We start from the raw sequence: 18,398 nt of genomic DNA on the forward strand, positions 1-18,398 counted from the left end.
TGTCTGGGAGAGCCACTGGGAGCCCCTGCCAAACCACACCTGCTCTTCCCTCTGACCGGCACAGCCAACCCTAGGATTTCATCATGCGGATACACAGGGGACGTGTGTGCTCCTCATTCACTGTGGCATTATTTATCAAAGCAAAAGATTGTCAATCTCCAAATGTTAATCAATAGGGGACTGATTAAATAAACAATGATGTCCGTACAATGGGACTCTACACAACTGTTAAGCAGAACCAACATACAGATGACATTAGCTACGTCACATGGAATGGAGGACCTCCCAACTGTGCCTCTTCAACCCACAGAATTATACGAAATACATATTAGTATTGATTTAAACCACTGAAGAAAGGAGAATGGACCCTGTATGTTTCTATAAGGAGAGGGTTCCAAGGTATATTGACATGCTACCATTTGTGTAAAAAGAGGAAAAGAATGAACACACACATGTTTGCATTTGGGTTTCTAAATGCATATACAAACATATATGGCTTTAAAGAAACTGGTAGGAGTGGAGGCCTCCAAGGAGGAGACTTGGGGGCAGAGGAACTTGATAGTGAAGAACAGGGGAGGGGAGGAGGCTTGATTTTCACTTTTTTTTTTTTTTTGCAATATGCCTGTATTTCCTATTCTAAAGATATACATACTTACACTAATTAATGAATCAAATGATCTCTTGGCAGAGATACTGAGAGTAAGACAGAGACATACCAGGGTGTGAACCCCAGGCTGCAGCCCTCTCTTTGTGTTGTCATGGGGTCAAGGGACATGCCCTTGAGCTGAGGGTCAAGGCCTGGGAAAGTTCCCACCCAGCCCCAGGGCCCAGCCCTCACAGGGTGGTGACTCATGGGCACCCGGGAAGTTTCGGTTCCTGTGGTTTTTGCTCTGTTCCAGTGGCCTCCTCTGCTGGGACACATCACTCTCCTGGCTGCTGGGATTCTAGCAGCCCACTGGGCCTGCTGCGTCCCTATCTCTGGGTATCTTTAGATGCTGTCTCTGGCCTGTCCTAGGAGGGACTCAGACCTTTAGAATGCCAAAGCAGAGGGTCCCCAGCCCTCTCAAGTGCTATCCTCAATGTCTGGCCCATCACAACCCTGCAGCCCCTGCCACGAACACTGACCTCAAGGGGTCACAGCTGCGGTGGCTTTGCTCAGAGCAGCCCCTGCCAATCTTAAAGTGGATGCTAGAAGGGAAGGCCAAGTGAGAATCCTGGGCGAGCCATTTCCTGTCTTTCTGTGGGTGTTGGAGCAGGACGGCGGGCGGCGTGGCCGGCTTGGGGGTGGAATCCTTGCCCTTCTCCGCCTCCTTTGCCAGGTGCAGGATGGATGCTGAGAGTCTATTTTGCAGATGAGGCAACTGAGCCCATTGCGTTCTGCCTGTTAGGTGTGGTGCAGGTGCCTGGGCAGATGTGTACTCCCGAGCCAGCTCCTCAGCCGCATGACCTTAGGTGAGTCACATCGCTACTCTGGGCCTCAGTTTTCTCATCTGCAAAGTGGGAACAATAATATTTTGTTTTTGACTTGCTGGCCACAAAGGCCCTGGATGAAAGGTAACTTCATGTGGTTGACTGCTCTGAGCTCCCTCCTCCTGAACCTCTAATGTGCCCGCTTCCTAGGGAATGCAAGCTTCCAGAGGGCCAAGCTTTTGCCCAAGTAGTTGCAGCAGGGGCCTGGAGCAGTCAGACCTACTGGGGAAGCAGGTGAGGGGGTTAGTTCCTGGGCACCAGGGTGACATTGCTCAGGGATCATAAAATTCACGTCCTCACCCACGTCCTTCCTCTTTATTTTGACTCAGAGCCAATCCTTGCTTGCTCTTCACTGAGACCAGCCTTCATCTGCAGAGGTCTCTGGGAGGGAGAAAGGTGCTAAGGAGCTAGGCTTCCCTCTGGGAGGCCCATCTGAATAAAAATAACCAACTTGCCTCACCATCAGGTCTCGTTCAAGTACCTTCTGGGTGCTTTACAGAGGTTAGCTGATTTTCTCTTCTCAGCCAAATGATGGGGAGAAATGCCCCATTTCATAGATCAGGAAGCTGAGGCACAGAGAGGTTTATAGCTTGACGTCACCCAGCTAGAAAAGAAGGAGCTGGCATTTGAAATCAGGCAGCCTGGCTCAGAGTGGAGAGGAGACAGAGGTGAAGTCAGCCAGGAGGTGGAGACACCAAGAAGAGCAGGGGAAGGCCCTGGGCAGGGAGGTGAGGAAGCCCCAGGTGAGTGCCATTGCTAGCACCCGTACTTGGGGTCCCCAACCAACTCATTTCTCTATGCCAGCCAGATGGGGGAGGTGAGTAGAGGAGAGGACGCTGTCTTGTCCGTTCAGGGCTTCCTCCTTATTAAAGCCTGTCAGATTTTCCCCGGAACCTCACAAGGAGGAAAGCAGGGGTTTCCACCAGCAGCCTCGGGTCTGCTCGCCACACAGGGTTTTAGAAGTCAGAGGAATGAGGCTAGGTTGGGTTTAGTCTCCATACCAGGTTGCCTCATGCCCACAGTCCTGTGTGCAGGCCTGTGCTGTGTCCCATGTCACACCCCTGGGCCTGCCAGTATTCGTGTTCCTGCCCCTCTGTGTAAATGTCAGGTCTCCTGGGTTATAGTGAAGAAGTCAGTGAAATGCACAAGGAGGACCTGTTGAGAGCCAGGCCTTTCACCCTCCTCTGTTTACAGGTGAGGAAACTGGGGCTCAGGGAGAAGTCACTTGCCCAGGGCACCTGGTTTGAGGGAGGAAAGCCCAGATCTGGGATTTGGGCCCTGAAGACAAATCCTTGCTTTTCTCTCTGTGAGAGGCGAGAGGGGCTGAACCCAGCCATGCTCGACATAACCTTGAGCCTCAGCCCACCTCCCACTGCCCACCCCCAACACTGGGGGCCTGGGAAAGGAAACTTTTCCACCAGGTACCCACATCACTTTTTCCGTTCTCATTTGCATAGGCCCTCTCTGTGCCGAGGCCACTTCACACGGGGTCACTGCGGGGTGGCCTCTGGTGGGCTGCATGTAGCTGGCTGCGTTGCTGCTGAAAGGCAGACCACAAAAGCCACACCAGGGGGTCCCGAGGAGGGGCTGCAGTGTCACATGGTGGCCTTGGCCTCTGCAGCCTGCAGCATGAGGCGGGGGAGCTGGGGAAGGTTTGAAGGGAACCTCTGCCTCTCCTCAGCCCCACTTTCTACAGAATAACAGAACAGTCACAGAGGCAGGAAGGAGTTCCTTTGTCCACACATCACCTGCCTAAGAGCCTTTGTCCTCCTCCTCACTGCCTCCATGGCCAGTCTAAGTTTAGCTGTGGTTTCTAGACCTTTCATGACCTGTATCACCCTTTGATCTTTTAGGCCAAGCTGGTTTCTCCATCCTTCCTCTCTCATTCCCGCATTTCTATCTCTGTTCCAACCACTGGTGCTTCCTGGAATTCCTGTCCCTTCCTCCCTTCCTCTGCTCAAGAAAACACTTCCAGGTTTCCTTTAAATCAAACAGAAGCTCCGCCTTCCCTGAGGCTTTGCTTCAGTGGCAGCCCCAACCCTCTTCACCCACCAAGCCCTTCCCCAGACTCCGCCCACACATAAGGTTTCTGCCTGCTTGGGGGCAGAGCTGCTGGAAGCGGGTTTGGAGAGGCTTCAGGAGGGTGTGAGGGGGAGGCCACCCAGGACAGAGCAGGTTCAGGCTGAAAACCCTAACCACACAGTCCCAGAGAGGGTAGAGGCAAGTTACAGTCACAGTGAGAGGGAGGAAGGTGGGCTCCTGACGAGGAAGATTGTAAGACCCATCTCTTGGCAGGTGCTTTTCTTAGATCCTAAAGTGGTTCCTGTGCCTGGGCTGGCCAAGGTACAGCCCTGCCCGGGTCAGAGAAATCATTTCAATGGCCTTTAAACTCTTTCAGTGATTGGTTTGCTATTGAAATAAGGACGATTACAATTTATAGTTTTAGACTCAGTTTTAAGATACAAGTTAGGTGGGCGCGGTGGCTCATGCCTGTAATCTCAGCACTTTGGGAGGCCGAGGCAGGCAGATCACGAGGTCAGGAGATTGAGACCACCCTGGCTAATATGGTGAAACCCCGTCTCTACTAAAAATACAAAAATTAGCCGGGCATGGTGGCACGCACCTGTAGTCCCAGCTACTCAGGAGGCTGAGGCAGGGGAATCGCTTGAACCCGGGAGGCAGAGGTTCCAGTGAGCCGAGATCGCACCACTGCACTCCAGCCTGGGTGACAGAGTGAGACTCCATCTCAAAAAAAAAAAAAAAAAGCAAGTTAATCCTCCCAACAGCTCATGAGGCCTAACAGATGTGGTGCCCATTCTTCCCTCGTAGGGATGGGAAGCTCAGTCTCATCTGGTGGGCAGCTCCCTAGGGCCCCCAGTTGACTACAGCATCTGGTTTCCAGTTTGGGTCCTTGCCTGCCCCTCCAAGACTCTGCCTGTTAGACATCTCCTCACCTTTAGAGCCTGAACTTTGTGGAAGATGGTGGCCCGGAAGCAGACTGGCCTCCGCTGAACTTCCTGCTCCTCCACTCAGACCAGCTGCGTGACTGTCAGCAGGCCCTTTAACCTCTCTGGGTTTCTGATGGTTGACCCGGAAATGGATGTAGTGGAACTCATCCTGAAGGGTGGTTATAAAGATTACACTGGTGAGGAGACTCCCTCTGCACACTCTGGCACCTGGCAGTGCTCCATCAATACTACCTGTTCATACACCCTCTGTGAAAGCACACTTCCTTGCCGTGACAAGTCCTGGCCCCTTCTCGGAGGCCAAATGCATCCTGTCGTGGGCATGCATGCACGATAATAGCCCCCCTTCTGTGTGTGGGCTTGTAACTAATTGTTTTTGTGTGCTGGATCTTCCACGGCTCCCTTGGGAAGTTGGTGCAGTGGGATTATTTTCTGCGTTTCACAAATAAGAAGACAGAGAGGCTTGGGAATGGGATCAAGTAACTCAGCAAGGGAGGGTCAACCAGGACTGGATCCAGAGCTGACAGCCCCCAGCTCGTGGTGGATTTTCCTGCCATACTTTCCTGTTCCTCATTCACGCCTTCATTTGAAGCCTTTCCAAAACCTGAAACAAAATTCCCCCAAACTTCTCAAAAACCAGGCCAAATGGACCGTCGCGCCCCTGCCTGGGCTGGTCCGAGTCAATGCTGACACTGCACATGCTTGTTTAAGGCCTCGTGCCTCCCTGGTAGCATCTTCCCGCTCACAGGCACCAACATGGCAGTTGCCATCTGTCCAGGTCTCACGCGCAATCCAGGGTGGCCGCTAACTCTGTCTTCCAAAGCACAGCGTTTCTTCTCTCGGAGCCTCTGGTCCCTGTTCTAGAAGGCCTCCTAGGTCTCACCCGGCTCTGCTCCTCCATGGTACCCAGCGTGGGAGGTGGCCGTGTTGTCACAAGGGAGGAGCTTCATCATTTCCACAGCCCGCAGGCCTCCCCCGAGAGGGGACTGCACTGAAGCCAACTTGCTTGCAGCCCCGGGGGAAGCCACTTTCCTCTCAGTAGGACCCAGGTGGCCAGGACGAGCCTCTAATCAGAGAAGCCCCCTGAGGACTCCCTGCCAGCATCCCCTGCCTCTTCTCAAGGAGGCAGGCAAGGGAGAGGGATGGAGAGCTGCGTCAGCGCAGGCACAGAAACACACCCTCCCCAGCCCAAGTTCAAGGGCTGCCCTCTGTCTGAACTGTTTCTAGCAGATGAGAGAGAATCAGGCCCAGCCGTGGCCAGACGGTCGTCTTATTTTCCAGAAGCCTTTGGAAGCAGGGACTGTAACCGCCTGCTCCTCTCTAACTTGCCCCAGGAGAGATAATGGGATACTGCTGCCCAGACCTCCCTCAGGCTGGCCCCCACAGCCTCCTGCCCTGCTAGGAAAATAAATCACCCTAATCAAGTCCCAGGAGTCCTGCATAGGCCGGGGGCTGTGGAGAGGCTTCTGGGCCTGCTTCTGGTGACAGTGGCAAAGCTGCACCCCCCTGGCCTCGGCTCCCTCAGCTTCTCTTCCTCAGTGTACCATGTACCTGGTGTTTGAAAAGTATCTGATTCTTTTAGAAGCACATTCATGAAGTCGACAATGTAATTCTGTCACTGGCTCAATCATTCACTGATTTAGCATAGGTGGAGAAGAGGGTTGGGGGAGCTAGGCCTGGCACCGGCCCTCAGGGAGCGTGACACCATTGGATGGTTCTGGCATCAGCTGACTGAGTGAGCGATGGCGGCTCAGAGTCCGACTGTGGGTCAGGCAAGGCCCGAGATCTAGAATACTCTGCTCTGCAACTTTCTGTGTGACCTTGGGCAAGTTACGCAGCTGCCTTGAGCCTGTGTTTCCCTGCCTGAAAAAATAAGTTTGTAAGGATAGAATGGGACAGGAAAGCCCAGGGCTTTGCATATGGTGAGGTCCCTTAACTAGCAGCTACTATTTCACCCTCATTTCACAGCTGGGGCACTTGGGGGCAGGAGCTATGACCTGATAAACTTCCTCCCTCAGCCTGTTTACAGAGAGCCTCCACATTCAGGTCTCACATGAGCTCACCTGGAAGAGGGTGGGGCCAGGAGCTTGCAGGTAGAGTCTGCCCAGCTCTCAATGGGAGCTCACAGCCTCAGAGGAGAGGAGAGGAGAGCCTGAGACCAAGAAATGGGTACCTAACTAGGAAGACAGAAACTGCAGGTCTCTGATGGAATGCCAGCCAGTAGGAGAGAGACGTGGCACCAGCGTGAGCCTGTGGCTTGCAACGGCTTCTTGGATGCTGCCAGCCCGGCTTTTGGGGTCAGAACAGCTTTTTAGGGACTGGAAGGGGAAGGCTGTTTCAGGGGATTGGGAACAACACAAGCAAAGTTCGTTTTAAATACATGATACAGAGAAAAGGGGGCTTTGGCGACAGCCAGGAGGCATGGTTCTGCCTTGGGTCCATCCTCTCTGGGCTGCAGAGGGAATAGGCCTAGAAATCCTAGCTTGTTTCCTGTATTCTTCTTATCTGTGGGCATGGTTCTAAGTGCTTCACAGAGATTACCTTATTTAACCCTCACTGCACCCTGCGAGGCGGCACGGCACACTGTATCACCCAGGGAGCTAAGGTCCAGGGCTGGTGGAGCATCTTGCCTGGGCTCACAGGTTTTCAAAGGGCAGAGGGAGGAGCATGAACACAAGCAGCCTAACCCACTGCCCTGTGACTTGGGACCCTCTGGCACTGGAACCGTGAGGCCCCTGGACCACGGCAGGGGAGCTCTGGGGCGCTGTGGTTGGCGCTGCCTGCACAGACCTGCCTTAGCTGTTGATAATAGCGTCTCCGTGGCAACCCTGCCGGGCCTCCCTGGAGCCCAGCTGGCAAGCCGTCCTCGCCAGGCTGTGTGGCGTGTCCTTCTCTACGCAGGTGTGCAGAGACAGCCTGGGATTTGGAAGGCCGGGGTCTTCTGCCTAGATTCTGTGGGAGCCGTGCCGCTTAGCCTCTCAGACTTCAACTGTTCCCATCTGCACAGGGACATCACAGTGCCCTCTTCACTGATGATGCAGGGTTGGGGCACTTGTGGATGGGCAGCAGGGCCCAGCACCCCCTTGTTTGAGATGCCAAGGGATGTCTGAGCTGAGCCGGGCACTAGGATCACAGTCAACACAGACATTGGCCAGATGAGGAAGCTGCCGCTCAGGGGTGCTTATTGGCCACCCCAAAGTCACACACATAGGAGGTGGCATAGCTAGATAACTCCCAGAACAGTGCCCTCCCTGCCCACTCTCCCCAGGAGGAGGACTGGTCCTCTGCTTAGCCTTAAAGAAGGCCTCAAGCTCACCAGCGCACGTGGGGCTGGAGGTGTCCCCAACTGGCTTCAGCACAGGCTGGGTCTACAAGAGGAAAGAAAGCCACACAAGGCATCAGTGGTGACCTGGCCCAGTTGTGGCAGGAGGCCACTCAGGGGGATGGGCGGCTGTGGACAGATGAGGCATTTCCCTGGGGAAAGCCCCTCCCCAAGTCCCTATGTTCTTTCCCAGCCCTCTTTCCTTCCAAGCACCCCCGGGGGCTGCCGCCCCAAAGCGAGGGCATGGGGGCAGAGCAGAGGTTCTGCAGCTCTCATGTGGCCTCGCAAGGCCAGGCCTCTGGGTTAGGACTGTGCAGGAACTCATTTTGTACCCACACAAAGTGGAAACACCCTAGCAGCTGGCACTGGAATTCATCTAAGAGAGAGAACAATTTCTGTTAAGAAAACTCTGTGGATGTGTTTGGGGTAGGAGGGAAACTTTTCACAGGAGGGAGGCTGTTCTGCAGAGATGAGGGAAGAGAATGTGGAGCTGTCCCAGCAAGCATTTGAGGGAGGGCGGAGAAGCAGCTAGAGGGAGGGCATGGTACCCCAGGGTGACTCCCAGACACCCCATCATCCGCATCTTGCCTCCCGTGCAGCCCTCGTCATGGGAGCCTAGAGGCAGCGGGGCCTGGAGGACTGCGCCCCACCAAGCACTCAGGAGTTAGCCGGAATTTGGAGGACAGGCTAAGACAGGGGAGGGATGCAGGTTGCACTGAATGCTACTCTGCAGGTAGAGATCTATGGAGGCCACCTCCCAGCTGGTAACCAGAAGTGGCTTCAGGTGTCAAATCCAGCGTTTGGCAAGTTTAGTCTGGCTGATGGCAAATGGTTGTCTTCAAACTCACCTTCTCTCTTTTCTGTCCTTCTGGCTCCTTAATAACTCTCTCCCCTAGTTCCACCTTGACTCATTCAGAGATGAAAGGATGCTACAGTCTCATGTCGCCTGAGGTTTGGTGCATCCCCTCCACTCTCAAAGGGGCTATTAGACCTTAAAACTGGCTCCTGAAGAGGGAAATGCCAGACCCAAAGTCAAAACTGTCCAAGGGGTCTTGCAGGTCTCTGCATCAGGGAGGAGAGAATCCCAGAGTGGGGCGGCCTCTTCTGAGGGGAGAAGCAAAGCGACGGCATGCCGGGGTGCCATAAAGCTCAGTCTAGCACAGCAAAGTGGCAAAAAGGAAGAATAAAACACCCATCTATTTAAAAGAGTAACGACAGGGAAAAATACATTTTCATCAGTTTGTCTTCTCGTGGCTGAATCCCCGCAGCAAGCTCCAAATTCCGACGTTAGGAAATAAATCAAAATAACTTTGCTGTGTTTAGCCTCATTTTGCCGCGCCGCTCGGCTCCGAGTTAAAAAGCAACAGGTACCGTGGTGTCTCTCCCAGAAACACAGGAACGGTTTTAAAATGCAATTATGGGGGTTGGTGGAAGGGAAGGGGAAAAATGTTTTTCTTCGATTGATGCATGATTGCCCCCATGCTGTTTGGAATCGTATTTTCGCTGAGCTCTGCTAAGAAGTGCTATTTACAGGGAGCCTGACAGACGGAAGCGATTGGGTTTGGCGGGTCTAAATGTATTATTTTAGCAGGCCTCCAAGGAAAGATTCTGGGAGGGGCGCTGGCCTTTTAAAGTGCAGAGGACAATGGAGCTGCTCTGCCTCAACCCTGCTTGTCAAGACCAATCAGCCAGCCTGGAAACAGCTCCTGCTTTCTACAGAGGCCTGCCTCCTGCCTCCTGCCTCCTGCCTCCTGCCTCCTGCCTCCTGCCTCCCCGCCTCCCCCGGCCGCAGCCTATTCTCCCCTCCCCTGCAGCCCTTGGCTCCCACTTGACAAATCCCATCAGTCAGTCGTTCACCCAGCTAGGACTTCCTGAGTCAGTCTAACAGGCTTGGCTCTTTTCTAGGCACTGCAGGGCTTCTGCATTAGTCCATTTTTTTGGTTACTATAAAGGTAATTTATAAAGAAGAGAGCTTTAATTGGCTCATGGTTCTGCAGGCTATACCGGAAGCATGGTGCCAACATCTGTTCCTGGTGAGGCCACAGGAAGCTTCCAATCATGACTGAAGATGAAGGGGAGCCAGCGCATCATGTGATGAGAAAGAGAGGTAGGGGTCGGGGGCCGGGGGGAGGTCCCACACTCTTTTCTTTTCTTTTTTATTTTGAGACGGATTCTCGCTCTGTCCGTCACCAGGCTGTAGTGCAGTGGCGTGATCTTGGCTCACTGTAACCTCCGCCTCCCAGGTTCAAGAGAGTCTCCTGCCTCAGCCTCCCAAATAGCTGGGATTACAAGCACCCACCACCACGCCTGGCTAACTTTTGTATTTTTAGTAGAGATGGGTTTTGCCATGTTGGCCAGGATGGTCTCGATCTCCTGACCTCATGATCCACCCACCTCAACCTCCCAAAGTGCTGGGATTACAGGCGTGGGCCACCGTGCCCGGCCTCTACACTCTTAAACAACCAGATCTCATGTGGACTCAAAGCAAAAACTCACTCATTGCCATGACGAGAGCACCAAGCCATTCATAAGGAATCCACCCCCCATGACCCAAACACCTCCCACCAGATCCCCACCTCCAACACTGGGGATCACATTTCAACATGAGATTTGGAGGGGACACACATCCAAACCATATCAGCTTCTAAAAGGTCTCTGGTCAGATGCAGGACAAAGGCTCCCTGCAGGAGCCCAGGGAGGACAGCAGCTGGCTGAGAAGGGTATCAGCACAGTCTAGGAAGCCCAGAGCATTTGGCCCCAGGCCCCAGGAGATGAACGTGCAGGAGGACATCAGGGACGGAAAACAGGTAGCAGGGAACAGTGGAAGGCAGTCATGGTTCCGAGATGATGGGTCTATGAAGAAATGGGACATGGTGGGCACCCAAGGCAGGATTATGGCATGGGTAGAGAATCCTACCTGATGATCAGCAGTAACTCTGTTTGAACCCCTGCTGTGTATCAGGCACTGTTCTAAGCTGTTTCCATCTATGAGGTCATTTAATCATCATGACTATGTGATAGGTTTCATTATTGCCCCCACTTCACAGATGAAACACGGAGAGGTGAAGCATCTTGCCCTAGGTCACTCAGCTAGTGAGTTGCAGGAGCTGGATTTGAACATCCCCCACCCCTTAACTACTCTGCTGTGGGAACCCAACAGTGTGAGTCCTGGATGAGGCTGATGCAAGGCGGGAACAGCAGCCAAGAGGCAGGACGGGCTGAGCTACTGACTGAGCCTCACAAGGTGCCAGGCTGGAATACGAAGTGAATAAAACCCAGTCCCTGCTTTCACAAAGTTGATGATCATATGAAGAAAGTGGTCATTTAAACAAATAACATAAAATACGATGCGGGGTGTCAGTACAGCAGCAGAGGGTTTTGCAAGAAACAGAAGTATCACAGAGGGTGTGACTGGTTACACTGGTCCTCGTGGAGGATGAGACAGGGAAGGCTTCCTGGAGAAGGTGATGTCTAATCTGAGTTTTAAAGGACGAGTAGAAATTTGCTAAACGGATAGAAAGGGGCGGTGCAGGGAAGAGCAAGTGGGTGGAAGAACACTTGGGTGAGAGGTGAGATCTGGGGTGGAGGGAGATCCTGAAAGGATTTGTGAACCATGCCGAGGAACCCAGGGGTCTCAGTGATGGATGAAGTTGTGAATGAGAGAGGGAGGTTGATCCCGGCTTGAAGGGTTAGGGGTGCTGGGCTGGGAGCCCAACAGATCACTCTAGTGGGAGCAAGAAAGCAGTCTATTCTCTAGACCTGGGCTTCTCAACCTGAGCATTCCTGACAGTTTGAGCCAAATTCAACCGTTGTAGGAGGTTTCCCTGTCCATCGTGGGATGCTTAACAGCATCTTTAGCCTCCATCCACTAGATACCTATAGAAGCACCCCACCCCCACCCTTCCAGTTTTGACAACCAGAAATGTCTTTAGGCATCGCCAAATGTCACCTGGGGGGCAAAATTGCTTCCAGTTGAGAACCGCTGGTCTAGGTTTTCATCATCTGGGAGAAATGCATGAGAAACAAAACAGCCATGCAGTCGGTGGAGGCTATGGAAGAGTTCTGTTTGGGCAATGTCTTAGATGAGAGATGGCTTGTTCTAGGGAACTTGAGAGTAAAGGAGGGAGGACTGGAAGAGAATGGGTTTCAGGCCTCATGGGCAGATATTTAGATACAGGATGGCAAATACAGACTATGTATGTCTCATCCCCTGCCCAAGGCAGACATCGCTAATCAATCACAGTGCTCTTTCTCCCTAAGTCCGGACACAGTCAGCAGTGTTCTAGGGAGGCAGCCACCACAGCTCAGGAGGGAGGGGTGCAAGACAAAAGATCCCTTGCCCTCCTAGGTGTAAGATTCTAAGAAGACCTCTAAGAAGAGGTCTTTCTATGTTACCCAGGCTGATCTCGAACTTCTGGGCTCAAGTGATCCTCCTGCCTCGGCCTCCCAAAGTGCTGGGATTACACACATGAGCCACCACGCCCAGCCAAAATTGTTTTTTCTGACCTGAGGGACTCCTGAATTCAAAATTCCCCTACCCACAACTATCCCACCCCCACCTACCCAATCTAGACAACCTTGATTCCAATAGGAGAGCGGCAGGCTGCATTTTCCTGGTGAGGCTAAGAATTGCTGCCTTCCATCTTCCTCTTTTCAAAGGAAGAGCTGGTCCTGAGGGCCCCAAGGTCCAGGGTGAGGAGGGCATGTGGCTGCTTCCTCATGACAGGAAGGACTGGGTAGTGACACAGGACACATGGGGGCAGGGGCACAAAGCGACTTCCGTGAGACCTAGCTCAGGGAGCTGGTCATATGGCCTAGCAAGGATGGCTCCTCAGGCTGGGCTCGTGGTCTCCCATCTCACTGGGTGTCTGAGACTCAGGTATTGCTGGGTGGTTGGGGGAGCTGCAGCGTTTCCTTACCCAGGGGCCATCTGAGGGGTTCAGGCTTGAGTGCTTTTGGTCCTGCATTTCCTGAGCACCTGCCAGGTGCGAGGCACCCACAACTTCATTGCTCCCACAAACTTCCTGCAGGTAGACCTCATTGCTCTACATTTCAGGTGAGAAAAACTAAGTCTCAGAGAAGTTAACTAACTGCCCAGGGTCCACAGCCAAGGGAAAGCAGAGCAGGGTGGAAACCCTAAGTCACCATCTGTGAGCTGGTGCTCACACACGTGGTGGTCCTCCACCACGCCATGTCCCTTGGCCACCTGGGGCTCATCTTTTAGAGGGAAAAGCTGTGAGCTGGGTGCTCCTCCACTACTCCATGTCCCTTGGCCACCTGGGGCTCTTCTTTTAGAGGGAAAAACAGAGGGACAGAGAGGATAAATAAACCGAGGGGCCATTTAACAAAGTGGTGAAGGGCTCTGGACCAGACTGGGTTCAAATCCTGGTTCCGCCACTCAGTAGCCAGTGGCCCCAGGTGAGTTATTTAACCTCTCTTTGCCTCGGTTTCCTCATCTGTAACATGGAGACAGTGGGTCCTAACTCAGGTGCTGCCAGGACGTTAAGAGTTGCATGCTTGGCACAGCGCCAGAAACGTGGCGAGTACTTGGTGGTCGTCAGCTGCCACTGCTGCCATGACAGGTAGACAGCATGGTAGTCAGAAGCCGGGCATCCCTTGCTCCACCCCTGACTCTCCTGCCTGCACAAGATGCAGCCCTCTCCTCTCGGAGCCCTTCTTAGAGGAAGCTTGCGGGGTGGTGTGTGTTTCTCTCACTGAGTCTGAAGCCGACCTCAACCCCAGCCTGAGCCAAATGTCACCGGAAAGGCATGGCCTGTGGTTTGCTGACGCCCCCGCCTCACCAGCCCTGGAAGCCTGCTGTGCTCTTGGGGCCCCAAAGGCAGAGGGCCTGGCTGGGCCAGCTCATGAGGTTGGAGGCTCTAGAAACCAGGCGGAAGGGACGAGGGTGGCAACCAGATTGGGTCCTCAGTGAGGGGCTGGAGAGGTGAGTGGTTAGAGCAGGTCAGGCTGTGCAGAGGGCCCAGGCCGTCTGGGGTGCTGGGCCATTTGTCCATCTTTCTGCCTACTTGTTCTTCCCTCTGCCTGGGAATTCCTCACGTGTGAGTTTCTCGCTTCTAAGGCAGCTGCCACTTACTGGTTTTCCTGCTCCTCGGCAGCCAGAGCTCAGTCACGTGACCTCAGCTCTGCTAGCAGATATGCTCACGTGGGACCTCAGCCTGCAGTCAGGCGTCTGAAGAAGCAGATGCTGTGAGACCCCCGTCCAGCAGGAGTGCCAGCTGCTGGGCCCCCTCTCCCAGGGGCAGCTGTGGGCGGGACTCAGGGTTGGCACCCGGTGCCCAGCGTCCATGGTAGAAAGTGTGCTGGCTGAGAGTACCGTGGTGACCCCATGGCCAGTCCTACAGGGTGGCTTTAGGATTGGGTCCTGGTGGTGTGGCCTTTATGTTTGGGTCTCTAGTCCTCGCAGAGACTGACCAAGGGCTCAACTGAAAATCATTTAATAAATGCCTTTTTTCCTTAAACAGATGGGATTTCTGTTGTTTCTTCTGTCCTGTGTGCCTCCCCCACTCCCTATCTAATGGATTATCTTTGGGGAAATTCAAACGGGCTTCTGAAGGACAGCTCCATGCTGTGCTTTTTGTGCCTGGCATTTATACAGATGAAATCAAGTTGAAATCAACATGGAGGGCTGCCTTGACCTGGAGGTGTGTGTGTGCCCGCATGTGCACGGGTGTAGCCACAAAATGAGGATGTGCAGCTTGAGAATGGGGTGTGAGAGAGGTGGGTGCAATCTCAATGCCTGGCCGTGAGGCAGGTGGGTTTGGGACTGAGTGTGTGAAGCCATGTTCTTCCTGTACCAACTGCTGCCTCCCCATTTCTGCATCCTGGTGCAGGGCCTTGGGCTTCTAACTCCCACCGTCTACCGGGACCTGAGCAGCACCAACCACAAGAGGGCAGACAGACAGACCACCCACAGGCTACCTCCGGGCCTCCTCTGGATGACCAACTCCTTTATGCCCAGGCCTGTGTCAAGCACTGGGTAGGGCTGGGGTAAGGCTGGGGAAAAAAAACCAGTAGGGACTCATTGCATTATAGGATTCCAGGGAGGGAAGGTACCTGTGTGACCATGCATTGTGCTTTAGCCACAGTGCTTTGCTTTCCAGTAAAATCTATTTCAGCCCAACCAAAGCCAAGCTGTTCTGGGGGGCATCTCCCCAGCCCTTCCCAAGGACTCTGCACACCAGGACCAGACAATGATCTTTGTTTCAGAGAAAGGAAACTGCAACCTGGAGGTGGGTGGTGACTTGCTCAAGATCTCCCAGTGAGTTACCCACACAGCTCCCTCTAGTCTCCAGGGTAGAGAGTTTATGTGCATATGTGCGTGAGCGTGCAGACACACACAGGCACATATGTGCACACTCAGACAATGGACTGCGTGAAGGGTCTTCACCCTCTGTCTTCCACAAGGCCTGCTGTCCCCTCTGCTGGCCTAGACACTGACCACACTCATTCTGCTGCTGCAGTCCAGAGAGTCCTGTTCTCAGGTCCTAGGGGCTTTCACAGCCAGGCCACAACATCAGCAAAGGAGAACATTCCAGAAGTCTGGTGCGGCAGCCCTAGGGTTGGAGTTTCATGGGTTGGAAGGTTTGGTTCTAGCACAGGAGAGGGAACCAGACACTGTGAGGGAAGGAGATTAGGAAGGACCCAAGCAAGGGGAGGGAGGAGAGAGTGGGAACGAGAAAGAGAGAGAGGAGACAGAGAGAGATGTCAGGCAGGCAGAGCGTGCAAAGGAGCAGTGGGGCAGGAGGCTGGGAGAGAGGGTGACGAGATGGCAAGGGTGAGGCAGGGTGCACCACAGCGCAGTCCTGGGGCCACACCCCTCCCCAAATGTAGCCTGGTGTTCGCAGCCCGGGCCTGGCCAGAGCCTTTCCAGCTGAAAGGTGAGAAAGGGAAAGGGGACCCAATGAAGGCACCCCTGCAGTGGGTCTCTGGGCTCTGTCCTTGAATGTCACTGGTGCTAATGGTGATCCACACCTCCAACCACCTGCACAGGGCGGGAGCCTCCCAGCCCCTCCAGGGCTTTGTAAACACTGCCCCAAGCACTTGTGTGTGTGTTGTCTGTGAGGCTGTGTGCACTTGGATTTGAGGGTGTGTGTGCTTGTATGAGTGTGTCCAGGGGTGATGGTGTGACCATATGTATTTGTATGTTTGAGTGTGGATACGTATGAGTGTGTGTGGCTGCCCTGAGTCCACGTGACCTCACTGAAGCTTATTTTGCTGTAAAGGCAGTTGGGCTGCTGGGTTGGGGCTGGGCCTAGGGACAGTGGGGCTGGAGGGACAGGGAGAGGCACAGTCCTCTCCTTCTCCCAAACCGTGTAGAGAATGAGTGTGGAGCTTTCCCCAAATGAGACACCAGGAAGGAGACACCTCTACAGCGACAAGGGTACTGAGGGAAGGGAGGGCAGGGACAGGGGCTTCAATCCCAAACTTGCCATGGTTCCCTAACCATCTCCTCATGGTGAACAAGTCTTCATCCAAACATGTGGTGCCCCAACCCATTCTTCTCAACCCCTCTTCTGTCCTCCCCATCTCGGTACCTGATGCCACCTCTCCAGTCCCCTGGACTAGGAGGGGGACAGCTGCTATGGGGCCTTTCCCTGGCATCCAGGCCCCATTCCCATTCCTCTGTGGTCTGTGTGGATCAATACCGGAGCATATGTGACTATTTAAATTTCAATTTAGGGTTAAATAATATTAAAAATCCAATTCCTCAATAGCACTAGCCACATTTTGAGTCCTCAATAGCCACACATGGCTGGTGGCTACTGGCCTGGGCAGTGCAGGTCTGGAACATTCCCATTATGGCAGGAAGTCCTATGGGGCATACTTGGGCTCACACACCTCTGGACCTTGGCTCATGCTGATATAACCACCAGGACTCCCGCCTCCCTTTGCCCACCTATAGAAGCCCTTCTCCAGGCTCAGCTCAGGCACCACCTTCCCTGGGAAAGCTTCCCGGTGCCACCAGGCTGGAATGCTCCACATCCACCTTCCTGCTCTGCTCTGGGCCTCCTTCTCACCTCTAGGCCATCAGCTCCTCCAAGACAGTGGCTGAGTCTTATTGATGTATTTTTCTTTGTACACACACCTTTCTTCTTTCTAGCCATCCCATCTCTCTCCTTGCCCACCCACTCTTGTTTTCTCTCCCCATCCCCTCGGTTTTTCTCTCACAACCTCTTGGTCTGTCTTGCAGGCTCCTGCATTTCCTCTCACTGTTTCTCTCTTCCCCTGTCTCCCCTCCCTCTCCCCCTGCTTTGCTGGAAAGATGTTAATTGCACCTGCAATTACCTAATTGCCATGGCAATTAGCCAGTTGCACTCTATTTTGAAGGTGCAAATGGAAAATTGCAGGCATAAGGGGTAATTTTTGGGCACAAAACTGTGCCCAGAGAACTTTGGCCTTGGCCCCGGGGGCCCAGGGGAGACTGGAGAGCTGGAGAGAGCCAGGTCTGGGGTGTGAAGCTCTTCTCCCAGGTGGGGTGGGACTTGGGGGTGGGGAATTCCCCTATAAGCAATTCACATCATCTCTAATGCAGAGCAAGACCAACCTGCCAGCTCTAATTATAGTGATTTTCATATTATCACTAGTGCTGATGAGAACTCATCATCAATACTCAGCAAGGTCATTCAAGGTGCTGAGAGAGGGTGGGAGCCCGACCTCCAAACTTTCCAGGCTGGTGTGGAGGGCTGGGTCACAAGCCTACCCCAGAAGGCCACTTCCGGGGTGCAGGACGGAGCCCCAGAGCAACAATCAGGCTGCCTGGCACTTGCTGGCTGTGAGCACCTGGTGAGCAGTGGTGCAAAGAGGCCTGAAAAGTAAATGCGCTGAATTTCATGGGTGAAGTCCAAGGCTTAGCCCCTTTCAATCCCCTTCCTCTAGGAGTCAGCACTGCCAGGGGAGAAAGGAAGCAGGATGTCCACTTCTGTCAGGAGACATGTGACTCCAAGAGTAGCCCCTCCACATGACCAGCGCCTGGCCAGCTGCCTGCTTTGGGAGCAAGTGGTTGTGAGCCTGGACAGTGGGTGTCTGGGGCCTTGGGCTTGGGTGGGGCTTGTGAGCAGTGACAAGAGATGACCCCCAGGGGTGCCCTTGTCCAGAAGCCTGCACTGGAGGTCAGAACCTGGGATCTAGCTTGGATAGGGGAGAGGGCTCTGGGATACAGGAGAGGCCATCTGGGGGTAGGAGATGGGGGCTCCTAGGGGACTGGCATCGATGTTGCATTGACAAGGCCAGGACTCCATTTCTATATGGACTGTGTGTGTTTAGGGCAGCCTTGGGGATGCTGATGGGGAGTTGGGGGAGGTGGTGGCTGGCATTGCTTATAGTCCTTGTCTCCTTAGGAAACCTGAGACAAGGAAGTCCCCAAACGATAACTGAATCCTACCATGTGCCCAGCATTGGGCTAGGTGCTTCTGGCAATACAGAGGCGACCAATCAGTGGACGTTATCCTCACTGGCTAGACACTGGCTCCCTACTAGACAGGGAGTGTAGAGGGGTGTGTACAAGCAGACAAAGAAGGTTTGCGACAAGTGCAGGGACAATCTAGCTCAGCATTCATCTACACACTGGGGAGTTTACAAATGCTATTGAATGAAGAAATGAACCAATTAATTAATGAATG

The 18,398-nt window shown here is 53.7% G+C and overlaps 8 annotated features.

Annotated features, from left to right (window-relative positions):
* Positions 678–727: an enhancer, noted in NCBI's record as "active region_9676". NCBI's record gives its function as "activates an Ori minimal core promoter by ATAC-STARR-seq in GM12878 lymphoblastoid cells {active_cell/tissue: GM12878}" and the evidence as "EXISTENCE:reporter gene assay evidence [ECO:0000049][PMID:35858748]".
* Positions 5,378–5,961: an enhancer, noted in NCBI's record as "H3K4me1 hESC enhancer chr15:70542989-70543572 (GRCh37/hg19 assembly coordinates)". NCBI's record gives its function as "activates a minimal SCP1, AML or CMV promoter by ChIP-STARR-seq in primed H9 embryonic stem cells {active_cell/tissue: H9 hESC(primed)}" and the evidence as "EXISTENCE:reporter gene assay evidence [ECO:0000049][PMID:30033119]".
* Positions 13,654–13,743: an enhancer, noted in NCBI's record as "active region_9677". NCBI's record gives its function as "activates an Ori minimal core promoter by ATAC-STARR-seq in GM12878 lymphoblastoid cells {active_cell/tissue: GM12878}" and the evidence as "EXISTENCE:reporter gene assay evidence [ECO:0000049][PMID:35858748]".
* Positions 14,432–14,591: a silencer, noted in NCBI's record as "silent region_6608". NCBI's record gives its function as "represses an Ori minimal core promoter by ATAC-STARR-seq in GM12878 lymphoblastoid cells {active_cell/tissue: GM12878}" and the evidence as "EXISTENCE:reporter gene assay evidence [ECO:0000049][PMID:35858748]".
* Positions 14,802–14,881: an enhancer, noted in NCBI's record as "active region_9678". NCBI's record gives its function as "activates an Ori minimal core promoter by ATAC-STARR-seq in GM12878 lymphoblastoid cells {active_cell/tissue: GM12878}" and the evidence as "EXISTENCE:reporter gene assay evidence [ECO:0000049][PMID:35858748]".
* Positions 14,912–15,131: an enhancer, noted in NCBI's record as "active region_9679". NCBI's record gives its function as "activates an Ori minimal core promoter by ATAC-STARR-seq in GM12878 lymphoblastoid cells {active_cell/tissue: GM12878}" and the evidence as "EXISTENCE:reporter gene assay evidence [ECO:0000049][PMID:35858748]".
* Positions 17,316–17,385: an enhancer, noted in NCBI's record as "active region_9680". NCBI's record gives its function as "activates an Ori minimal core promoter by ATAC-STARR-seq in GM12878 lymphoblastoid cells {active_cell/tissue: GM12878}" and the evidence as "EXISTENCE:reporter gene assay evidence [ECO:0000049][PMID:35858748]".
* Positions 17,426–17,575: an enhancer, noted in NCBI's record as "active region_9681". NCBI's record gives its function as "activates an Ori minimal core promoter by ATAC-STARR-seq in GM12878 lymphoblastoid cells {active_cell/tissue: GM12878}" and the evidence as "EXISTENCE:reporter gene assay evidence [ECO:0000049][PMID:35858748]".

The sequence above is a fragment of the Homo sapiens genome, chromosome 15 (assembly GCF_000001405.40).
Source record: "Homo sapiens chromosome 15, GRCh38.p14 Primary Assembly".
Classification (NCBI taxonomy): domain Eukaryota; kingdom Metazoa; phylum Chordata; class Mammalia; order Primates; family Hominidae; genus Homo; species Homo sapiens.